Here is a 24,489-nt window from a genome sequence, read left to right on the forward strand (position 1 = left end):
GATTATACATTTTTCTTGTGTTTATTTGTTCATTGTCTTCACTGCTTTTAAAGTACCTGAGGGTGGGTCCTTGTCTATTTTGGCTCACAAATATATTCCCAGCACCTAACAGTGTCTGGCTCAGTGTAGGTTTTCAATAAATGTCCAATGAATCAATCAATCAATCAATGATTTTTGGTGACAATATCAATCTTTAGACAATAAATTCACGTATTGTGTTAGCCTCATTAATCCTGAGCTTTGAAATGAAAATGAAGAAAAATTGAACATCCTCACTGTGTCTGCAAAGACATCCCCTCGGATGCCTTTAAGCAGTGTAGCTGTCTAAAGGACTTTCTGCTGCCCACACCAAGCCCACCTCACCTCTCTTCTCACCATTCTGACTCCCTTCTTTGGTTTTCCCATAGACTCCAAGGCTGCCAATGCTATGGGTTGTTATAAACTCTCACTCATATTTTTTTCTTTTGTGCCCAGTTCTTTTTTTTTTTCCTTCCAACTTTTATTTCAGTTTTGGAGGGTACATGTGCAGGTCTGTTACATGGGTAAATTGTGTGTCATGCGAGTTTGTTGTACAGATTATTTTGTTACTGAGGTAATAAGCATAGTGCGCTATAGTTAGTTTTTTTTTATCCTCACCCTCCTCCCACCCTCCACCCTCAACTAGGTCCCTATGTCTGTTGTTCCCTTCTTTGTGTCTACGTATACTCGAGGTTTACCTTCCTCCTAAGTCAGAACATGCAGTGTTTGGTTTTCTGTTCCTGCATTAATTTGCTTAGGCTAATGGCCTCCAGCTCCATCCATGTTGCCGCAAAGGGCAGGATTTCATTCCTTTTATGGCTGAATAGTATTCCGTAGTGTATATATACCACATTTTCTTTATCTAATCCACCATTGGTGGGAATTTAGGTAGATTCTATGTCTTTGCTATTGTGAATAGTGCTGTGATGAACATACATGTGCAAGTGTCTTCATGGTGGAACTATTTATTTTCCTTTGGGTATATACTCAATAATGAGATTACTGGGTCAAATGGTAATTCTGTTTCAAGCTCTTTGAGAAATCTCCAAACTGCTTTCCACAGTGGCTGAACTCATTTGAATTTCCACCAGCAGTGTATAAGCATTCCCTTTTCTCTGCAACCTCACCAGTGTCTATCTTCAACTTTTTAATAATAGCCATTCTGACTGGTGTGAGATGGTATCTCATCATGGTTTTGATTTGCATTTCTCTAATGATTAGTGGTGTTGAGCACTTTTTCATATACTTGTTGTTTGCCTATTCTTTAAACTTAGTTTAAACCTCAAAGTTTCCTAAAACAAGATAAACTCTCATAAGGGGCTCCAGCTGTCAGATTTTATTTTAAGTAAAAATTATTCCGAATTATTGTCTCTTCTTCTTATATTTCTCCTTTGGCTCACTTTTACTACCTAAATCTTAATCTGCTTTTGAAATGTTTCCAAAATATCTTTTGAGATATACATGTCAAGGTAATAAAATCAGCTATTTACTATCTATTTAGTTTGTCATGTAGTAGCAATATAACTCTATCACATGTTTTAATTGTCCCAATGTCACCTTTTATTACATTTGGAAAGTTTTTGTCTTTATGGAGCAATTTTCTTTTTCTGTTTCAAATGCTTTCACCAGTTGCATATGATGAAAGTGGCTGTGGAAATGCTTCACTGAGAAAGTGGGATTTAACTTATAGATACAGCTGATACCATTAATATGCCAGGATATGGATATGCTTGATTCCATACCCTGACTGAACCCGTACTCTAATCTTCCAACTCAAAAAAGCATGCCTTTTTAGTTACAAAATAATTTGGCAGGGAAATGAGAATGGATCAACACCCTCCCATCATCTTTATCAGAAAGGTTCTAAAAAACTCATTTCAGAGAGTCAAGTCAGGAATATTGCATTAGGAGTGCATATAATAGATGCTAACTTAATATTGTCCTCAGCATGCTTTGTTCCCCCTCAGGTCCTAGGAGAGAAAAATATTGGCCAAAAGAGATGATATTTTATTTAACAGTATAATGCTTTTATTGTCAGACTCATGGCCTTCAAGGGGTAGACCAGAGGCTCAAAGATGAAGGCAAATTTATGTTAAAATTATAAAATCTCAGTAGGTCCATGGATGTGGGCCATCAAAAACACTTTGCCATATTTCCATGTGGAGAAATCACGGAGTCATTTCAAAGACAGGCTGTAGGAAGGCAAGAATGTTAGTAACAGCACAAGCTTTGGCCTCAGACTGCCTGGTTCAAATCTCACCAGTGCTATTTGCTAAATGGGAGAATTGAGCAAGTTTATTTATCACAGGTGTTCCATTTTCCTCATCTATATGATGAGGGTAATTATAGTACTGTACCTGTTTTACAGGATTCTTATTAGGGTTAAATGAGACAAGTATATAAAGTGCCTCTTACATAGTAAGCACTACATAAACGTTAGCTATTATTATTACAGTTGGGTCCTTAATTCTCAATGTGGATACCAACCAGCAAGAGTTTTGACTCTTCTAGACTCTGATTTTCTTAACTTGAAGAATTAGAATGTTTGTAAAAACACTTTAAGATTCCCAAAGTGATTATTACTGTGAATATTAGGTAATAAAAGTTCACTTAAGTACCTGCCTACAGCATAATACAGAAAAGCATAGTCCAAAAAGTATAAAGGAGAAAAATAGCTATGTTCACATCTGAAATAATAACAGTTTCAGAAAACTTGGAAAATCCAAAGAAAAGTGTTAAAGAGTCCAAACAACTGAAGATTTCTAGCTAAGAGAAAGGCAATCTTGGGGCGTTGGGGGAAAAAAGGCTGAGCTGCAGGATTTAGCCTGGGTCCCATCTGCCCCTGAGGTTGGACAGTTGAGACCTAGAAGTTGTACTCTTCCCTTAACTGGCATCAAAGTTGGAAATTATTTTTCTTTCCCACGTTTTTAACTCCAAAACTTTGAATTCCTGAGTCTGGGGGAAATTAACACTTGGTAAACACAGTATTCAAAAGCAAGTTCCTGGCCAGGTGCGGTGGCTCACGCCTGTAATCCCAGCACTTTGGGAGGCCGAGACGGGCAGATCACGAGGTCAGGAGATCAAGACCATCCTGGCTAACACGGTGAAACCCCGTCTCTACTAAAAAATACCAAAAATTAGCCTGGCGTGGTAGCGGGCGCCTGTAGTCCCAGCTACTCCGGAGGCTGAGGCAGGAGAATGGCGTGAACCCGGGAGGCGGAGCTTGCGCCACTGCACACTCCAGCCTGGGCGGCAGAGCGAGACTCTGTCAAAAAAAAAAAAAAATAGCAAGTTCCTGCATGGCCTTGCTGATTAATGACATGGAGTAAGGCTAAATTTAGCTAGTGGTTCCTAGGAGGTCCCTGAGTCCTTGGGACTGTAGTAATTATATTGATGTCACTGCCCTTGGTCAAGGTGTCAGGATAGGTAACCTGAAACTATGACTCTCTGTTCCCTGCCCATATTCTGTGATTAAAAAAGATAAACTTGCACACTGCTTGGCAACCAGAGTTAGGACTTTGTCCTGGGCTTTTAGAAGTTCTTCCTTCTTGCTTATGTCCTCTGAACCAAGAAAATACCAGTGTGGAAGCTCTCACTTGCCAAGGTTGGTGAACCCCACAAGGATCTGAGCCTTCACCTTAGCAGACTGGATGATTTTTCCAAAGGACATATGCAAACTTTTCTCGTTTATTTTTCCCTTTAGTTTTTTGTTTGTTTGTTTTCTTTGAGACTGAATTTTGCTCACTCTCGTCGCCCAGGCTGGACTGTGATGGCTTGATTTCGGCTCACTGCAAACTCCACCTCCTGGGTTCAAGCGATTCTCCTGCCTCAGCCTCCTGAATAGCTGGAATTACAGGTGTCCGCCACCACGCCCCGCTAATTATTGTATTTTTAGTACAAAGTTTCACCATGTTGGCCAGGTTGGTCTCAAACTCCTGACCTCAGGTGATCCACCCGCCTTGGTCTCCCAAAGTGCCGGGATTACAGGCGTAAGCCACTGTTCCCAGCCCCTTTAGTAGTATTTTATCCATAGTCATGTCTTGTTTTCATCATTGAAATACTAAAGAGATAGAGGAGAGGGTAACAACAACAGCAACAACAAAAAGCTCTTCTCTCTCATTGTTCATGGAGATGCTGGCACCTACTGAGCAAGACGGTGGCATGCTAACTGCAGTCCATATTCACCCCTCTAAGCTTCATTCACAGAGATGACCTAGGAGTTGAGATTCCCCAGCCTGGCCTCTGGTGTTCCTCATTTCTGGCACACTCCTTTTGATCTGGGGAGCACCATTAGCACAACTGAATGAGGGGATTGATCCCAGACACTTAGCTGGAGTTGCTATGTGTTAATCGGTTGTTCTAAGGTGGAAGACAGCTGCTTTGCCTTGAGAAAAGGCAATGAAGAATATCTCTCATTATTCTTAGAAAACCAGTATAGTTCACATTACAGGTGTCAAAAGACAGCTGAGATTGAACAATCTGAACACACAGTTAAAATAAATTCCAAGTGGAAAAGAGGCTTCATTCGTGTGGGAAAAGATTGTAATTCTAAGTGAAGTGAAGAAACTTTAAAACCATGGTAACCAAGAACTGTGCCGTCATGTGTGCCTGGTTTGCATTAATTGCAAATGTGCGCTCCCCAGGTCCTTAAAATACAGCTGACGTGCCCCCATGAGAGAGAAATGAAGGAAGAGGAAACAAGCACTGGGCTTGCGCAAGTGCAAGTATTTTATTATCTCAACCAAGATTAATATTTCTAGCATACATTTTTAACTACAAGCTTTAGGTAGGTAACATCCTTTTAGATAAAAGTGAAGCCAGTCTCTAAACCAGGTCTTCTGATGACATGAAGTGGAAACATATAGATGTTGGGATCCTACCTCACAGTTCGAATCCCAATTCTGCCCACTAACTAGCATGTAGATAAGAGTATAAACATGAGGTAAAACATTCCAGCCGTGATAATACTTGGCTAATTTTTATAAAGTTTACCTCTGCCACTCTGTGTAAACAAATGACTGGTAGCTTAATGATGTAAAGATTTTGAGAGAGGAGTAATGGGGAAAAGGACTAATTTACTAATTTACAGAGACAAGCTTAGGTTGTGTTAATTAAAAATACTTCTGTAGCATACTTTTATGCAAGCTGTTTTCCTTAGAAAGATGCTTTCTTTTTGCAACATAACTACTAATAAAGTTCAGGTTTTTAAAAAATAGCTGTGCTTCAGAAGAAATCAGAGTTATTTTGTGAATCACTTACTTTGGGCCTAGACAAATAATAAAGTATAATGTGGTATACCTGGCTTTAAGAGACTTTCAGTCTAGAGAGTAGGCAGAATGTATTCTCATAAAGCCACTGGTATTACAGTGTATTTCATATATCTATGTCTTATATGTATAATATGCATAACCACCCACAGCTACATATGGCAGTATCAGTTACATACTAAAACAAATTTACTAAATTGTCCCATACAAAATAAAACAGCAAATGTCTAGAAAAAGAGGACTCAAGATAGTGACTGTCATCGGGATGAGTTCCAAGAGAAGGTTGGACTTGAGAAGGATTTTGCATAAAAGGTGCATCCTTATTCCCAAAGCACTTCCATGGTCCCTGCTCCCCAAACTATCAAGCCCAAACACCATGATCCCTGGCTTTCAGAGTTTTTTTGATTTGGTCCTGAGTACTCAACCATTTACATGATCTCCTTAATTTCCATTACGCTTTCTTATATAGCCTGTGGTCCTCGTTTTGTCACTTAGTCAGTCCTGCAGCATTTCAGTCTCCGAATCCATAAAATGAAGACACTGGCCTTTACAAAGATCTCAACAGCCCCCTTTGTTCATGCTAATTTACAAAGCATTTGATCTTCCCAGTAGCCCTATGAGGTGGAGAGGACAGGGATTAGCCCATTTTTTAGTTAAGAACACCAGTCAAGGTGCTCTGTCTTCAAGCCCAGTGCAAACCCTTCAAGCCCATAAATATTGGGTGTCTGCCCTCCTCTGAGGTGGTTCCTGCCTCGATCCTCCTTTGCTGTCTGTCCAAGTCCTGCCCCATCCATCAGAGAACAGCTTCATTCCCAACTCTTTCCAAGACTGCTCCAGACTTTACAGGCCCACCCACCTTAGGCACCATTCCACCCACAGGCAGAAATACAGAGGCTGGCACTACTCACCTCTCTTACCTCCCTGCCTGCCTATCCCATCCAATCCTGCCCACCCCAGAATGGTTCCCGGGGCCTGACACTTGTCTCCGCCATGGAGTGGTGAAACCTCAGGGCCCCTGCCTATTGGGTCTCTACACACCACACTGTCCTGGCTTAAGGTGAGCCCATGGAGCTCATTCGGGAGAGGCTTGTAGGGTGGATTTGGGGTAAGAGGGAGGAGACGAGATGTGCTTCCCCTGGCATGGGGTGGAATGGAAAGAAGAATGGGCATGAAATCCAAGCAGACAAGGCCAGAAGACAAAGAGACTTCCAATAATGGTAAAATTAAGATCTACCTAGGTTGCAGTGTCTAAGAACTAAGGTTTTCTTTTCTCACTTTCTCTCCATCTCACAAACTACACCCCACTCCCACTACCACCCCACTAGAAGCAAATTGCAGTTACCATGTACCCTGGGTTATTTAACACACTGAAATGAACAGCATTTGGCAGGATTCTGAGCAGTTATTTTGCACCACAGCACACACTAGAAACCAATGACCTGAACGATCTAAGGTTGCTGTTCTAGAACTGTTGTCTGCTTCTAACTAGCCCTCTTCCCAATTAATTTGAATTATTGAGCTTCATTCTTCCTTCACCAGTATGTACAAGAGGACCCAAGCCATCACACAGCCTAAGGCAGGCCCTGATTCCTGGGCAGCTAACAGAAAGCAGACAGAGGATGTACCAGAGCTGTAGGTTTTATTTAAAAGCAGTTGAGGATTTAGTACTAGAGCCCAGGGTGGCAGGAGAGCCTAGTGGGCAACACATGGACTCTCGAACCTGTGCTTGTATCCCAGTTCTTCTACTTAGCAGTTCTGTGGCTTTGGGTCCTTAGCATCTCTGTGACTCAGTTTCCCCAACTGTAAAATGGAGATAACAAGAATACCTACTTTCTCATGAGGATTAAATGAACTGAAATAAGTGAAGCTCATAGAACAGTCCCTGGCACACAGTAAGTAACAGGAAAGTGTTAGTTGCTATTATTTTTGTTGTCGTTGATTTCTCCTGCTATTACTGTTGTTCTTTGGAGGAAGGAGACATGATCTGATGCTCTTGCTGTGAGAATGAAGAGCCTAGCATAATAAATAGAGATTCGGCACACACAGAGTTCTAACTGTCAAGCCCTCGCCAGTCGCCCACTTCCCTCCTCCAGCACATCCACAGATACATGCTTTTAAAGAGAAAGAATTCCTCTGAGACAAAATGTTCCTTTCCTCTTGGTGACCTTGACTGAAGGAGCTGCGGCACACCCTGAAGTGGCCACCTGCTCCTCTTCTCCAATTCTTACCTAATCTCTGGACCAGGAAGTGGAAAGAAAAGCGCAAGAATATTGAAAAACAGTCAAGAGGTTTGTTAAAGACTCTTCTCAAAATAGATCAGAGGCATGCACACATACTCAGGAACTTGGTCAAGTATTTACACGCACCTTCTAAATAAGCTGACTGGTGAATTTTCAAGGAGAATGTAGCTCAGGAGTCATCTATGGATAGCAGTGAGACACTCACCTCTTTTTCACCTCTGGAAACTTTCCACCATCACCTCCTCCACCCCCAGCTCTCTCAGAGTAACAACAACTTCTTTAAAGAGCCCAGCAAAGTTATTTCTTCAGAGGTTGTTTGGGTTCATCCCATCATGTCCTAATATTTACATTTTGGATACAATTGGTGAATATTAATATTTTTTCCAAAGAGCTCAAATAAAATGTTTATTTCATGTTTAAAGTGAAATAAAAAGAAAATCCCTCAATGAGAAGAGTCCCTAGAGGAACATTTGAGGTTTGAGAATATTGCTAAGCCCAGGAATATAGAAGGACCCTTTTGGTCAAGTGAGAGGCAGGAGGCTTGGACATGAACAGAACCCCTTCTGAGTGTGTGATCAAGAAAAGGGGCCCATCTGTGTGGCGTGCGGGCCCATGGGGATGTGTGAGTGTGGGGAGAGAGACTCTTAAATGATGCCACAGTTGATTCCTGGACTGCCTCAGGGTATAGAACAGAGCTAAAGCAGGGAAAGGAATACCCCCAAAGGCAGCCTCCTTCCTCAGGGTTGTAGAGCAGTGGAGTAGTGGCCGACAAGGCTGACCAGGAGTTTACTCTGGCTGCTTCCAGGATGTTATCTGACTCTATTTAGACAATTATTCCTTGGTATGGTTTGGCTGTGTGTCCCCACCCAAATCTTACCTTGAATTGTAATAATCCCCATGTGTCATGGGAGGGACCCAGTGGGAGGTAATGGAATCATGGGGGTGAGTTTTACCCATGCTGTTCTCGTGATAGTGAAGATCTGATGGTTTTATAAAAAGAAGTTACCCTGCCCATGCTCTCTTGCCTGCCACCATGTAAGACATGCCTTTCACCTTCCACCATGATTGTGAGGCCTCCCCAGCCATGTGGAACTGTGAGTCCATTAAACCTTTTTTTATATATAAATTACCATCTTGAGTATGCCTTTGTTAGCAGCATGAGAATGGACTAATTCATTCCTAAAAGAACTCTCCTCCAACTAACCACCTTGGTCACTGATGGGGACTTTCAAGTGCACAGTGAGAAGGGCAGGGGGCTGGGGAGGTGGGATCATAGATGTAATCATAGGAGTAGGTACTCAGGTAAGAACTGGAGCAGGTGATTCCAAGGTGAATAGGTGGTGAGTCAGCTGTGTGGAAACTTTTTTAGGACAATGATTAGGCTAAAAAAAAAAAAAATTCTGGTAATCTTTTTTAAGCTAAAAGTATATTTGTTTATTCAACATTAAATACATGAGTTAAGTACCCACTGTGGGCCAAAGATGGTGCCTTAAGCTAACAGTGCACAAAGAAATGGGAAGAGATGCAAGATGGCCATGAATAGAAATGACCTAGGGAAGCACATAAACATAATACAGAATGCTTGAAAGAAATTGATGCTGAGATCTGAGAACACAGAGCAACACTGTAATTTTACCCAGGGGTGTCAGGGAAAACGGCTCAGAAGAGTTGCTATTTAGCTAGATAGTGAAGAAGAATAGGAGCTGGCCAGGCTAAGAAAAGTTAATGATTAAAAATGCAAAACCAGGACTAAATAGTACTGGGTCCAAATGATAGTTCAATCATTTACCACATGTAAAACCTTAATCTCTCTGAGCCTTAACTTCCTCATCTATAAAATGGGAATAATTCTGCCCACCTTGTAAAGAGAATTAAATAAGATGATAGCTGTACAGTTTTGTGCATAGTCTCAGCCCAAAGTAATCATCTGCAAATGGTAGCTATGGTTATTCTTTAGCCCATTTATTCTGGTCCTGGGCCATTAAAAAAAAGTGGCAAAATGCAACCCTGAGGAATTCCAGACTTCAGGGAGGCCCAAAATTCAAAGAGGTTTTGGTTCACAGGCCTTCACCAGCCCTCTGGATAGGCAGAACATGTTGGTAGAGTGAAACGTGCTAGCACAGTGGAATATTCTTGTATCTGGGATTATAAAATATATAGATAAGTTTCCTTCAGTTCTTAATTTCTGCCCATTCCAGGGCTTTATAACATGAGTCACACCCAGTCTCTAACTCACAAATCCCAATGAGGAAGAAATGAAACGCCAGCCACCTTCCCCATGTCTCCACTCCCAGTGGACTGCCCGTCAGTGTCCCACACCTTCCTCATAAGCCAGAGGCTCCCCTGCCCCCCAGCCACACCTTCCTCATTTTTTCTGTCCCTTCCTCATATTGAAAAATGTAAGAGGAGGAGGAGGAGGGGAATTCCAGTTTAGTTTAAACAGAACTCAGGGGGAAATGGCATTTGTTTTCACAAGGAGGAAATAAAGCCTTTTCAGTCACCCTATAAAGTTGCGCTAACATGGGCTCAGCAACCCCTTCATGTTCTCAAACTGTGATGCCCTCAGGTGTGGAACTTCCCAGGGCTGATGGTTACCAGCTGCTTCTGAAAGCAGCCACTGCTGTGGAGGTAACAGCAAGCTCAGGATACAAGATCTCCTAGGCTTAGGGCCAGATAAAGGTTTTCTGCTTTTGGAGGACTCTTGTTCCCATGGCTGGCATCCACTGAGAAGAGCCAGTGGGTAACAGAATAGTTAATACAGTGGTTCAAATATTTAATTACTATCTGTTTTATCTTATACCATTTGGCCTTATATTGGGCTGTACAAACTCTTAGAAGTGCCCCTTTGCCCAGCTGCCCTCAAGGGCCCATCAGGAGGAAAATAACTGGCTAATTCCAGCTCTGGTCATATAGGCTATCTTCTGTGGACATGGAAGGGTGACATGGAAGAGCCCCATTTGAAGATTGGGGGTACACTTGGAGCTAGAGAGCCACCCATCATATGGAGGAGAAGTGGTCACTCTATCACTTACAATAAAAAAAAAAAAAGATCACACTTTAGTTGGAGAACCTGCCTGATTTATCTTTAGAAAGAGGTGGTATGTAAATAAATTCAGTAAATCACAAAGTTGGAGGGGACCCAACTGCTTAAAGTTAGAGAAGAATCTTTGAAAAAAGGCCAAACCTGTGATTTCCTATATTAAACTATCCCTGGAGCAAGAAAGAAGAGTCTTGCAAAAAAATCAGCTATATTCATTCTTTTCTTCCATTTTTTAAAAGGAGAAATTAAATTAAAAGGTCAGTTTTTTACACTGCTCTTAATTGCAATGACTGTATCTTTTTGAATCTTAAAATACTCCCATCACCTTACCCTATGGTTGTAACCCTCCTTTCATAAGCTTTTAAAAGAGCTATTACAAGGCTTCAGTGAACTTTGAATTGTTCTAATTTCAACACAGTTTAGAGGCCAACAAGCCAAGAGGAGCCTTTCAAAGTAGGAGTGGAGGTTTTCCATAAGGGGAACTGACCTCGGACTTTCTCTGCTTGACCCAGTCTGCACATTTGAGCATTCAGTGCCATAATTCTGTCTTTACAATAGTAAAAAGGGAAAGAGAATTATTCTGGTAATTATATTAATCTGTCTCAAAATGATTCCAGGAGCAAAGAAATGGATCTGTGAGTGTTCAGAAGCTTGTAAGCTCTGAAACGGTTGAATATGATCAGTCTTTGCAGACATGACAAGCTCTGGTCTTAGTCTTAATGTTAGCAATGATTTTTTTTGGTCTCTCTTTTAGAAATTATAACCAGCAGGATCATGGATGTTTGATGTAGCATTCTTTCATCCAGAGCTTTTTAGAAGTTACTAAAGAATTAACAAGTGGACTGATTTGCTTCTTAACTGTGCTACAATTCTTTTGGTGGGAAGGCTAATAAAACGAACAGTAACAGGAGCCGTTCATACCAGCAGACAAAAATAAATAAATAAAAGAAGAGATACTAAAATAATCTACAGTGATAAATCTCCAAAAATATGGGGGAGATTCATCACTTTTGAGACCTAGTACACAAGATATGAGAATTGGTCCAGGATCATATATTTGCATAGCTCTTTAGATTGGTACACCTGGCATCTCATTTAATCCCCTTAAAATCATGCAAGATGGATAGAACACTCTTATTCCTCTGTCTCAGCAGGTAAGTAGTATAAGAGTCGTCAGGGTTAAGTAAATAGTTCATGGTCACACAGCTACTAATGGTTGAACCACACTCGAATCCACATATTCAGACTCCACATCTCTGGTGCTCTTTGCAGTGTGTTTAAGAGTCCCATTCATTTGTTGAAGTACTAGTAAATAATTTCCCAGTTGCCTAAAAGAGTAAATGGAGTCCCTAACACCAGCTTTAGTGCCGAAAACTCACTTTAAGTATTAGGGGACAAGAGCCCAGTTGATTCTTGCCATTTTTAAGGTGAAATGAAACTAAAGTATATTCATTATTAATGCAAAGCTCACACAAAAAGCATGTTGTGCTTCAAAGTAGTATTTGGAGGAGGTGTGGTTATTCTTACAAGGGTACATGCTCAAAGAGTTTTTTTAAACTGCCCATTAATAGTTGCTTTTGGAACCAGATTTCAAACTACAGAATAAAATATTCGCGTGACTTTATATTGCACCAAGATATTTCTACAAACAAAAAATAGTGTTACCTATCAGACCAGACCTTATTCTATATATCAAACTTCACTTTAGTCTCTATAAAACCAAGTTTACTATTCAAGAATGAAAACTGAACATATTTCCCACAGAGGAATGTTTTAAAATGCTTTCACTTGATTGCCTCATTAAAATTAGTGCATTTCCTACCAAGACGACCCTTTTGAAGTGGATACTGCCAATATTTTTATGAAAAAACCGAAAAAAACATTACTTTGCACTGACCCTTGAATAAAACATCCAAAGTCTCTCAATATTTCACAAGTAATAGAAAGATGAGGCAGAGCCCATAAAAGAAGAAAATAGGACATCAAGAAATCTAAAACCCACTACCCCTGCAAACAACAGCAGCAGCAACAACAACAGATTGATGTCATTCTTAAAAAGATAATCAAAATATGACTAAGTACTCCTCTCTAAATTCCAGGCCAGCCAAAAAGTCTTGATAAATATTGACGATTTACCCAATTTCACCTGCATAAAAAGTGTTTTGGTAACAGAATTAAAATCCTGGGTTTTATTCTAGCTGTGAATGTCATGCAGAATGATCTGAAGTAGCTTTTCCCCCTTTCAGAGAAAAGATGGGATCAGGCAGAAGGTGGATACTACGCACGCCAAAGTCACATGATGCCCCGTATCCTCATGTATCTTCTTTTCTGTGCCCTTCCTCCTTCACAGGCAGCATCGCCGCCATTACCGTGACAGTCATTGCCGTGGTGCTGCTGGTGTTTGGAGTTGCAGCCTACCTAAAAATCAGGTGAGACGCAGCTTACTCTTAAAAAAAAGGGATTCTGTTTTGTTGGGCTCTGGGCTGAGCGCTGTTTTGCTGGATACTTGTTCCTTAATAGGTATCTTAGCCCTTAGAAATATTGGCAGAGAAGTGAAAAATGGCGGGTGTACTCCTACACCACACAACACAGGTATAGACGTACAGTATCTGAACCTTGGCAAAGTAGAAGAAGCAAGCTGAGATATACAGCATGATGATGCAATGGAACAAGAATTAACGTGGAGTCGGGAGACTGAAGCCTAGGCTCCCTGCCCCAAATGTACCTCATTACCCTGGGAAAGCCACATGCCTCCTAAAACTCACCTATTCTCATCTGTGAAAGGGGGTAGAAGGGTGGGATCGATGGTTCCTAAATTCTGATGTTCTGAATACTGAACTGTGGATTTGTACCCAATCTGTTAATGAGGTTTTCATTGATTCCAATGCAAAATGTAAAAAATATAAGGAAGGTGTGGCATTTCCTATAAAACCGTTTTTTCTCCTGAGATTATGTCTTTATATTTTTGGCTTTAAAATATCTTTTCTCCTATGAAATGAAGTGATAGTAGCTGAGATTTTACTTTCTTTAGCCTAATAGGAAGTTGCAATACTCTGTGAGTCCTCCATTTTTGTTTTCTATTGCTCCGTGAAATCAAGTCTCAACACCACATTACTCACAGTCTCTAAGTGTCCTTCCAGCTGTAAAATGCCAGATGGCAAGTGACAGTCTTATTTCCTAGTCTGTGCAGTGCCCATAACAAAGGACAGAAAGACACAAGCTGCATGGTGAGCACACTCACCCTTGACCTCCAATTCGTTCTCCTCCCAGGAGCCAGAACCATTTCTATGCAAGCTCCTCTGCCCTGTCATTCCCTTCCTGAAAAACCCCAGTGGCTCCCCTTGCACTGAGAATTAAATTGTAACTCCTCAGCGTGGCCCTCAGTCATCCTGGACCGTGCCTGCCTCCCCTTTTCCAATCATCACATCCCTCTCTCCCTCTGAAGTCCTGAACTTCAGAAACTCCAGCTCCCTCCAATTCTTAGGACACACCAGGTTCTCTGTCCTTCCTTCCCCAGACCCTGCAATCTTGCTACTTCCTCCATGAGATGCTTGTCTTCTAGCTCCTTCTCATGCTGTGTACATTGGCTTTCATCTCACTTCCTTTGAGAGATGTCCTTTCCAGTTTAGAGCCCCTGTTATTTACTCTCTTAGTGCCTTGTTAAGTCTATCCTGGATGTGACCACTGTCTATTATTTTATTTTATTGCTATCATTTTGTTTTTGTATATGTGTTGCTTGTTTATTGTCTCTTTTCCCCACAAAAAATGTAAGGTCCTTGAGGACCTGGATTTGTCTGTGAGGACACTGCTAGGGACCAAGACGGTGCTTGATACATTGAACAAATGAGCAGTGAACCATAAGGACACACAATCCCATGGGCACTGTGGCGCACACACACAGACACCCCTGACTTGTCCCCCAAGCAGCCATGTTTCTTCCTCAAGAGGCTGTGCCACCCTGTCCTTCCCTCCTGCTCTTGACCCCACGTGGAGCTCATGGATATGATTCCTCATCTCAGAGCACATATCCACTCTGCTGCTGCCTCCTCTCATCCCCACTCGCCACCCAGCCCCACCCAGTGCCCACTGGGAGCACTTCCCTCCTCCTTCCCTTTTATCTCCCTCCATCTTGTGTTCTAAATGTGCATCAAATCAATCTCGATAATGTCAAGTGTGAGAGTGCCTTGTAATATCACCTGCGTCTACGATACAAAGAACAGGAAAGCCAGGTTTTGAAGAGAAATTGGAATTAAAGGGCCCGCTTGACCTGTTTCTAATAAAACATTTTATAAAAGCATCCAGAAGTTTCCCCCAGATTTAAAAAAAATATTTCTCTTCATTAAGTCTGCATGTCCTTGAGCACTAAACTTAATTTTATAAATTATATCTTACTGAATGATACCTTTTTCCATCTGGTTTAATTATTAGTTTATTGCTGCAGATACACCGTATTTTAATTACGAGTTAAATTGGCTTTTATGAACTACTCTGGGAACCTCGTTTCCATTTTATAACAAAGTATCTGTTGAAAAACATGTTCTGCCCCTCCTTCCCAAAAAGGAACTTACACATAAATTTTAGAGTCATTTTAGAATCACCAATGATGAGTTCCTAAGAGGCTACATTATCAAAAATACGACCTTCACTGAAGTGTGGAGTGAAATAGAAACACTTCCTTCTTGCTACACACTTCCCCAAAATGGTGCTGAAATAACTGGAAGGACTCTTCCTCTTCACTTTGGCAAGAATTCAAGTTTACCACCTCTAAACCCACACTGGCTATAGGCAGGCAGTCTAAAATAGTGATTAACAATTCAGACTCCAGAAGCAGGGAGCCCTCAGTTCAAATCCTGGCTCTACTACTTCCAGCACTGTGACCTGGGCATGTCACAGAGCACCACTAACCCTCATTTCCCTCACCTGTAAAATAAGGGCAGTAGTTTCTACCTTGTAGTGTTGTTTGGAAGCAAGTATATAGCACTGCCAACATCATCATCATCATCAAAGTGGTAGACTGGAAGGAGCCCCAGGAAGACAGTCCTTGATAGATAGCTGTAGAGCGTCAGCCATGTGCCAGGCCACATTAGTGATGTGACACAGTTCTGCCATCACAGTACTTACCATGTTTGGAAAATTTTGTTAGCAGGCCATTACAATTTGCTCTGATGAGTGCTGATTAAAATTTTATTTTAAGCTATATTTTCCCCAGGCGTTCAGAGCACCAGATAAATTAAGTAAATGATTAAATTGAATAAATCATTATTCTTCTTCCCCATACAGCTTCTGTCTCCTAAATGTAGTAAGATATACAGTGGCATAAATATAAGGTTGCTATTTATCTATTATGCTACTTAAGTTTAAGCACTATAAACTTAAGAATGGATACAGTTATTAGACCCTTAAGGGGTTTCAGAAACCCCCTAAGGAAAGCCCCTTTCTGCTTCTCTATTAATTATTTTGGTAAAATGATAACATAAGGAGATTAATCGTTGTTATGAATCTTAAGGCTATGCTAAAACCCCTTCAGCTGTTATTTTGCCAGGTTGTCGGAAAGCCCCATTAATCGTTCATCAAAAATACTTTAATTGACGTGTGTGTGTGCATGTATGTTCCTAAGGATAGGCTTTGCTTTGGTTGGGAACTTACTCTTCTTTCTTCATCCCAGATTTCTAAAAACAATAACATAACAAAAGATCTGTTTTCTGTGGTCTTTTAGCTTGTTTGGCTGGAGCAGCGAGTGACTAAAATCACAACCCATAGGGAGCCATTAGCTTCTGACCTGCAACCATGGGATATGGCCCTGGCCCAGCCAAGTTCTCTGCAAATGCAAGGGGAGAATCTGCTTGAAAAGGCAGCCTCATGATCAGAAAAATAGAATGCTTGGCAAGCTCTGCTAACAATGGGTGGGGACTTTTCACCTTTCTTCCCAGATCCTCATTTCCTCTAAAGGCATTGTAAACTTAAGAGCCATCTGCTTTTCACACTCCCTTTCTCCAGGGACCCATTACCCCTAGTTTTGTCACAATGACCCCTGCCTGGAGAACCACATCTTTTTGTAACCTGAGCCACTTTTGGATGTGACTTATAAAATGAACTGCCCTGAACCCAGGGCCCTTCTTGGTTTATGATCCCACCTTTTAACCAGCAGCAGTGTGGTGTGGAGGGAAGAATGTGAGCTTTGCAGTCAAGTTTAATGCTGACTCTTCTACTTACTATTTAGGCGGCCTTGGGCAAATTATTAACTCCTTGATCCTCAATTTCTTCAATCTGCAAAAAATAGAGTTAATAATATGTATCTTTCAAGGTTGTTTTAAAGACGAAATGAAGTAATGAATGCAGAGTAACTGGAGAGACTAGCATGGTGACTAAGAACATGCACTCTGGGGCAAGTTTTCTTTTTTTGAGTCGAAGTCTCGCTCTGTCACCCAGGCTGGAGTGCAGTGGCGTGATCTCGGCTCACTGCAACCTCCACCTCCCGGGTTCAAGCAATTCTCCTGCCTCAGCCTCCTGAGTAGCTGGGACTACAGGCACACACCACCACACCTGGCTAATTTTTGTATTTTTAGTAGAGACGGGGTTTCACCATGTTGACCAGGGTGGTCTCGCTCTTCTGACCTGGTGATCCGCCCACCTTGGCCTTCCAAAGTGCTGGGATTACAGGCGTGGGCCACTGCGCCCAGCCTGGGGCAAGTTTCTTAATCACTTTGTGCTCAGTTTCTTCATGTAAAATGAGACTATAATAATAATAGTACCTAACTCAAGATTGTTACAAAGATTAAATTATGATACATATAAAGGTTCAGTGCCTGGTATGAGGTGAGGATGATGGAAGGTCAATTACTGTTACTGCTGTAGTTTTTAGAACAGTGCTTAGCAAATAGGGACTCAGTAAACTGGTAACCACCAACACATAGGCTGTGAGGTTGGGAGCACAGTCTCCATCCTACCATTTCCATTCAGTAGGCGTAGGGATTCAAAGGACAGGGGAGAGAAGGAGGGGGAAGATGGCACAGCAGCTCATTTCCTAATTGAATATTGATATGGCGGTCTTCCATGTTCCAGTTTGGCAGTTTCGTTAGTGCTATTCTGAAACGTCTGTGAAGTTGAATCCATGTTACACATTTATAAATGGAAACTATCTCTGAGCAGTCTTTATGCCAGGGCTTGTTTGCAACTTTAAAAGAAAGCAAAGGCCCTGTCTACCTTTTGCAGAACTATCTTTAATTAGTGATGATTGAAGAATGAGATAAGTCTGTTTTGATTTGTTTAAGTTGGCTCAAAACTGTTCAGCCAAGACATAATCTCCCTGCACAGGAGACCGTATCTGCTAAGACCAGTGATGTGGATGTTGCTGTAATTAGGTGTGCTGGTGACCCAGACAGACTACATGGGCTGTTTTCTTCACAAAAATAAATGCAGTCTTGATTTATAGACACAACAGGACCTGTCTTTTAAGACGTCTTGTTAGAAGTCACCTATTTTGCTTTATGTCTTCTAGTGATTGCAGGTTGTACAATTGGATTCCTTCTGGTTGTTAGAGTAGGCCCAGCCAGCCATAAAGGCCAAGATCTTCTAGAATTTGTTATACACAGTTGACTTTTTCAGGTCACCTTTTGGAGTTCTGTAGGTCTTGTTTACTCAATTTTCTCCCTCAGTGGTTCTTAAACTTTAATGTGCATAAGAATCAATGGAAGAGTTTATTAAAAACACAGTTTCCGGCCGGGTGTGGTGGCTCACGCCTGTAATCCCAGCAATTTGGGAGGCTGAGGCGGGCAGATCATGAGGTCAGGAGATCGAGGCCATCCTGGCTAACACAGTGAAACCCCATCTCTACTAAAAATACAAAAAAAAATTAGCTGGCCCTGGTGGCAGGCACCTATAGTCCCAGCTGCTCGGGAGGCTGAGGCAGGAGAATGGCATGAACCTGGGATGTGGAGCTTGCAGTGAGCCAAAATCGCACCACTGCACTTCAGCCTGCGTGACACAGCGAGAAAAAAAAATAAAATAAAATAAATAAACAGTTTCCTGGGTCTCATCCCCATAGATTCAGATTCAGTAGGTCCAGGTGGGGCCCTTGCATTTACATATCTAACTAGCTCAAAGGTGATGCCAGTGCTGCTGGTCCAAGGATCACACTTTGAGTAGCCCTGTTTTACCCGCTTCTAACACTCCAGTAGCCCTGTTTTACCCATTTCTAACACTCCAAACACACTCTCTGCTGTACAGTTTCCCAGATAGATTGCCCTGTTGTTTCATATATGTTTCAGATATGTTGCCCTGTTTCAGATATATTGCCTTTGTAATTTTGAACATGCTGATCCCTCTGTGAGAGGTGTTTGGTTCACCCCTTTCCCAATCTGGCTAATTTCAAGTCGTCCAGCTCAAGAGAGATCTCCTTTGGGAAGCCTTCATCCACCTTTCCATACTGAGTTCCTTGCTGTGCATGCTTCCCTCATACCATGTGCTTCCCTGTACTGCAATCAGTGCATTCTCTACCAGTTTTCTCCACTAGAACAATATCAAGTCCTTGGCAGTACCTGACGTATAGTAGTTGCTTAATGAACATTTATTGGATGAGTTCATGAGTCTGAATAGGAAAGTTTGGGGGTGCAGCAGTAACATTCGTTTACTCCTAATCAAGAAGAACCAGGGTTTGGGGAAGGGGAAGCCATGGGAATCTGTTAAACCACACAGATTTTTACTAGCTACGTCGTGACACTGAGCTAGTTTACAAATAAACAGATGTGCCAATGTGTAGACCTTTTCTGTGATGATTGTCTTCCAATAGTAATGCCATCTGGCAGATAATTTTTTAAATAAACAAATATGACCTGCCCCTTCAAAGCAAAGGTAATTATTTCAAGATATGCTTGAAAGTAACAGCTTTTTAAAAGAAACCCAGAGTCTGGAAAAAAAAAGGATTTTAAAAATAAATATTTGGAAATATTCCCATCAGTGAGATTTTTGTTTAAAAGATGGAACTGATAGGATTCCTTAGTTGTGATACTCACTCTGCCACTAACTTGCTGTCGTAACTTTGGGTGAATAAAATAAATTGTAATGATTTCAGTTTTCTTAGCCCCAAAATTGTGGTTCACAATATTAATTTCTTAGTTTTGACAAATGTACCACAATTATGTATCAACATTAGTGGAAGCTGGGTGAAGGGTATACGGGAAATCTTTGTACTATCTTTGCAGCTTTTCTCTAAATCTAAAATCATTCCAACATACAAAGTTTATTTTTTTTAAATTATGACTCAGTAGCTACCACAAAGATATATTGTTTGCTTTTGCCTCAGGGCCTCTGTACTTGCTGCTCCCTCTGTCTACACGGTATCCCTCGGTTATCCACATGGCTCATCCGTCATCTCCTCTATGTGTCTGCTCAAAGATGTCTTAGTGAGACCTTCCTGATCATCATATTCAGAATTACAGTCCCCACCTCCTACTGGGAACTCCTCACCACCCCACCCACTTCTTCTATTTGTTTTCTCCATGGACTTAGTAACATTCACCATGTTATTATTTGTATATTATTTACTGTGTCTCCCCACGTAGAATGTAAGCTCCCTAAGGACAGGGATTTTGATCTGTTCAGTTTATTAAGGTATCAACCAGGTGCTAGAATAGGGCCTGATAGATGGTAAGTTTTCAATGAATACTTAAAGAAGCCAGGCAGGAAATGATAATCAGAAAAAAAGAGGAAACGATGGAAACAATGAAAAGGAGACAGTGACAGCTGCATCAAACAGTTTTGTTAATGGACAACAAGAGTCTAAGGCTTAATTACTCATGGCTAATGAACTGAAAGTTCAGCTGCATTTTTCCAGCACTAAGCCATGTCTTAATCATCTTTGTATCCTTCCATATTTCTTCATATCCTTAGCACATGGTAAGCACTAATGATTGAATGGCAAGACTTGCTTGACTAAAGAGGAGAGGGCTTTGTGGGGCATAGTCATAAATAAAGGTGGAGACTTGTGGAGAACTGGGGCTGACCCTTGTAAAGGACAAGGTATTTCCTAAAATATGTTTTGTTTCAACGCAAGAAAAGGGACACTTCACTCATTTTCAAAGACAATAGAGTTTCATTAAGTATTGATGCTACAGTTATCTTTAAATAGGTACCATTTTGCAGTGTTGGAGAATACCTCAAGCCACAAATGTCACCACATCATTTACCATTTGTCACCAACAAGTGGTCACCAAGTAGGGGCAGGGAGTAGGGAGTGCTGCTTTCTATTAGGGAAGAGCCACTAGAGAAAGAGAGCAATGAGGGAAGAGTTTAAAAGAAATCATTCTTCATTTTTCCCCCTCGGGTTTTAATTTGCTTACTGCACCATATGATACAGTAGACTCACATTGACAATAAGCACAGTGCCATTGATTAACGGGCTGTGAGCACTGTGCTAAGGGCCTTAAAGCCACATCATTGCATGCTAGTCCAGCCATAATGCTCTTTTCCCTTCCTATGTTTAAAGTCAAAACAGTGACTTTGACCATCAATATTCCTTATGGGATGTTTTCATTTTTCCAATTATACTATACAATGAATTTCCATGGGCCATATTAATCCTAGCTGGTATTAGCCAAACCCCATAGACACTCCATATACACTATCTATGCTGCTGCATATAAGCAGTTATCATCAAATATTTATAAAATAACCATTATATCAACAGCAACATGTTAGGTGTTTCAGGTAGTTAGAAGAAAAGTAGGACATAGTCTGCCCTCAAGAAGTTTACCATCTAAGCGGAGCCAAGACACAGCAAAGAGAAAACATGGCTATATTGAATCAGTGCCAGTCTTTATTAAGACTTTTAGTAAATAAAATTGCTTTGACCTTACAATGACATCATTCATCCAGATTGCTGTTCAGGTTGAAATTAGATGAAGCAATGTTGCCTTATAAAGCAAGCAAAGAGACCTTGGTTTCATTAGCAGCACTACCATTAAATAACATTGACAAAGTCACCTAAATTCCTTGGGTCCCACTTTACTTATCTTGAGAATGGGAGTTGCTTTGTTTTTTGGTTTCTGATTGTCTTTTTTTTTTTAACCTCATACACTATGCAAATGCCAATCTGAAAACCTCCCCATTTCCATCCAAAATGTGCCATGATTTAAGAGGTTCTGACCTAGAGAGAAAGTTTTACATGCTCACTAATTATTGTCCTCTTATCACACGTACAAAAAATGTGTTTGTCTTACTCTTACTACAATAGTATCCAATTTGTCCAAACCTGGCTGGAATCCCAGTACACCCAATTTTTCCTGTTTAAGCTCGTTAATGTGGTAAATAAGCCCTATGGGTTCAGTACATTCCCAATTTTGGTTCATCCATATCTCTTGTATATCTTTCCTCACTTATCAGCATTTTACTCAACTCACTGTTTCCTTAATGGGAAGGAAAAAAAAAAAAACAAAGTAAAGGCCAATCTTTTTCCTTTATTTTACTAGTGTTTGTATAGGAGGTGTGTCTTACAGTATAGGAGATTCAGATATAGCATTAACCAAATAGTCTTGCCTAAAATAACCATAGCCAGTAAACCTGATAGCCAGAAGATTTTCAATCCTCTAACCCCCATTCCAACATACTAATAAACTTTAAAAATTCAAATACAATAACAATCATGTAAGAAACTGGTTTTATAACTATGCCTGGGGTATAGTTTCAAGAGTTCCCAGTGGGAGGAGGTTCACTTTTCATTCAATGACATTTTTTACTATTTGGCAGATTCACCATGTGCTTGTATAAGATTTATTATATTAAAAATTTAAAAACAATATTGGCCAACATTCATTGCACATTTGCTATGTGGCAGGCCTTTTATATTCATTACCTTATTTAATCCTCCTAACAACCATAAAGCAATTTTTTTTAAAGTTTCTCCATTTTATAGATGAAGAAACAGGGGGTTAAAAACTTATTCAAGGACATACATTTATTGACCAAACTCACATTTTATGGGAATAAAAATATATGATAGAGATAAAAATTCTGTGAGAAGTTCAATTACCATACAAGGTGAAGCAGGAGTACCCTATCAATAAAGGAGCATGTTTATTGAGTATATTTTGCCAGGCTTGTAGCAGTAAGTTATGCTGAAATTTAGGCAGAGCTCCAGGGCTTTAGTTACCGGATTTTAACTTGTTCATTCTACAGCTTCCATTTCTCAACCATCCTGTTAAAGGATTTGATTGGAACTGGAGGTTTCACATTTGGGGAGAGTGTTGGCCATAGACAGCCCATGACCTTTGTTTACCAAAGCTACCTCCCTTATTTCTATAGATCAAAGAAGCAGTGGTGTTTCTGGGTTTCTATTTATGGTCTCTTTCATTCCCATACCCACAGAAATAAATGTGAGCCTTTAGGGAAAGCAAACTGTGGAACATCTTCAGGTTTTCAGGTACATAGATTAGGTCAGCTGAATCAGCCTTCAGGACATAAATCAGAATTTTGAAGGCTAAGAGTTTGAAACGAGCACAGCAAAGGTCTAGTTCTTTGCAAAAAAAAAAAAAATTGTCTTTTTGCAAATACCTGGCAGATGTAAATAAGCTTCAAAATTGCAATAGCAATTATTTTAGCAACAGATATAAGTATACCAAATGCTTTTTGCACCTTTGAATTGTGTTTTCATTTTGTTTAATTTTCACATCTAGCTGAGATAAAAATTAGTGGGAGTGGTCATTTTTTGTACTGTATCTAGCATACATGATTTCCAGTAGCAAGGTATAATAATTCATATGCTAGCATGAGCCTTAGAGGTAACAAATGCTCATTTTGTGATGCTCTTCTAATCCTGCCATTAGTTTTAGTCTTAAAATGACCATATTCCTTTCCAGGGAGCTCCCGTCTTATGAACAGATCAGTTTTGGGGGGATCTCTGGATTTATTTTTTCCAATCACTGTTTCTTTCATAAACACGTATTGAGGACTTACTGTGTGTCAGATATTCTTCTGGGTGCTGGAGTTGGAGCTAAGAATAAACACAGCAGGCAAATAATCCATACCTGCATGGAGGTTACAGTCTAGTTCTGGAAGAGAAGCAATAACAAGTAAATTATATAGTATGTTAGAAGGTGAGGAGTACTATGAGAAATATTAAGCTGGGAGTCTGGGGTGGGGGTTGAAAACTTAAATTGAATTGTGTTTTAGTCCATTTTCACACTTCTGATAAACATACCCGAGACTGAGCAATTTACAAAAGAAAGAGGTTTAATTGGACTTAACAGTTCCATGTGGCTGGGGAAGCCTCAAAATCATGGCGGAAGGCAAGGAGGCACAAGTCACATCTTATGTGGATGGCAGCAGGCAATAAAAAAGAAAGCTTGTTCAGGGAAACTCCCCCTTACAGAACCATCAGATCTCATGAGACTCATTCACTATCATGAGAACAGCACAGGAAAGACCCGCCCCCATAATTTGATCACCTTCCACAGGGTTCCTCCCACAACATGTGGGAACTGTGGGAGTTGCAATTCAAGATGAGATTTGGGTGGGGACACAGCCAAACCATATCAAGTTGTTAAGGAAGGCCTCACTGAGAAGGTGACATTTGAGCGAAGACTTGAAGGAAATGAGAGAATGAGCTGTGTGGAGACCTGGAGGACAATTGTTCCAAGCCAAGGAAACAGTCAGTGCAAAGGCCCTGAGGCAAAGGTGTGTCAGGCATGAGAGTAAAGAGAAGGAGACCAGTATGGTTATAGCAGAGGGAGCAAGGGTCCTATAATAGGGGCTGGTATGCTTAGAAAAGTAGCTGGGGCCAGACCCCATAGGGCTTTGCAAGGCATTTTAATGATTTGGCTTTTACTCTGAGATGAGGATCCATTCAAAGGTTTTGAACAGAGGAGTGATAACAATCTGATTTCATTTCTTATAGATATATTATTAATTATGCAAGAGGGTCTCACAATTA

The 24,489-nt window shown here is 40.7% G+C and overlaps 1 protein-coding gene and 1 long non-coding RNA gene across 3 annotated transcripts in view, besides 1 other annotated feature; one reads left to right on the plus strand and one right to left on the minus strand.

Annotated features, from left to right (window-relative positions):
* PARM1 (prostate androgen-regulated mucin-like protein 1) overlaps nt 1-24,489 on the plus strand; it is a 116,998-nt gene that overhangs the window by 87,852 nt on the left and 4,657 nt on the right. For both annotated transcript variants that reach the window (XM_011531833.1, NM_015393.4), the window contains one exon: nt 12,916-12,994. In XM_011531833.1, the coding sequence (XP_011530135.1) occupies nt 12,916-12,994 (79 nt within the window). The remainder of the gene's footprint in view (nt 1-12,915; nt 12,995-24,489) is intronic.
* Nucleotides 5,541-6,081: an enhancer, noted in NCBI's record as "NANOG hESC enhancer chr4:75951718-75952258 (GRCh37/hg19 assembly coordinates)". NCBI's record gives its function as "activates a minimal SCP1, AML or CMV promoter by ChIP-STARR-seq in naive H9 embryonic stem cells {active_cell/tissue: H9 hESC(naive)}" and the evidence as "EXISTENCE:reporter gene assay evidence [ECO:0000049][PMID:30033119]".
* The window catches only part of LOC107986289 (uncharacterized), a 37,189-nt gene continuing 28,787 nt past the window's right edge, over nt 16,088-24,489 (minus strand). The window contains exons 2-3 of the long non-coding RNA XR_001741728.2: nt 23,514-23,608; nt 16,088-16,832 (exon numbers count right to left, since the gene is read on the minus strand). This is a non-coding gene — a long non-coding RNA (uncharacterized LOC107986289). The remainder of the gene's footprint in view (nt 16,833-23,513; nt 23,609-24,489) is intronic.

Source organism: Homo sapiens, chromosome 4 (assembly GCF_000001405.40).
Source record: "Homo sapiens chromosome 4, GRCh38.p14 Primary Assembly".
In the NCBI taxonomy this organism is placed as follows: domain Eukaryota; kingdom Metazoa; phylum Chordata; class Mammalia; order Primates; family Hominidae; genus Homo; species Homo sapiens.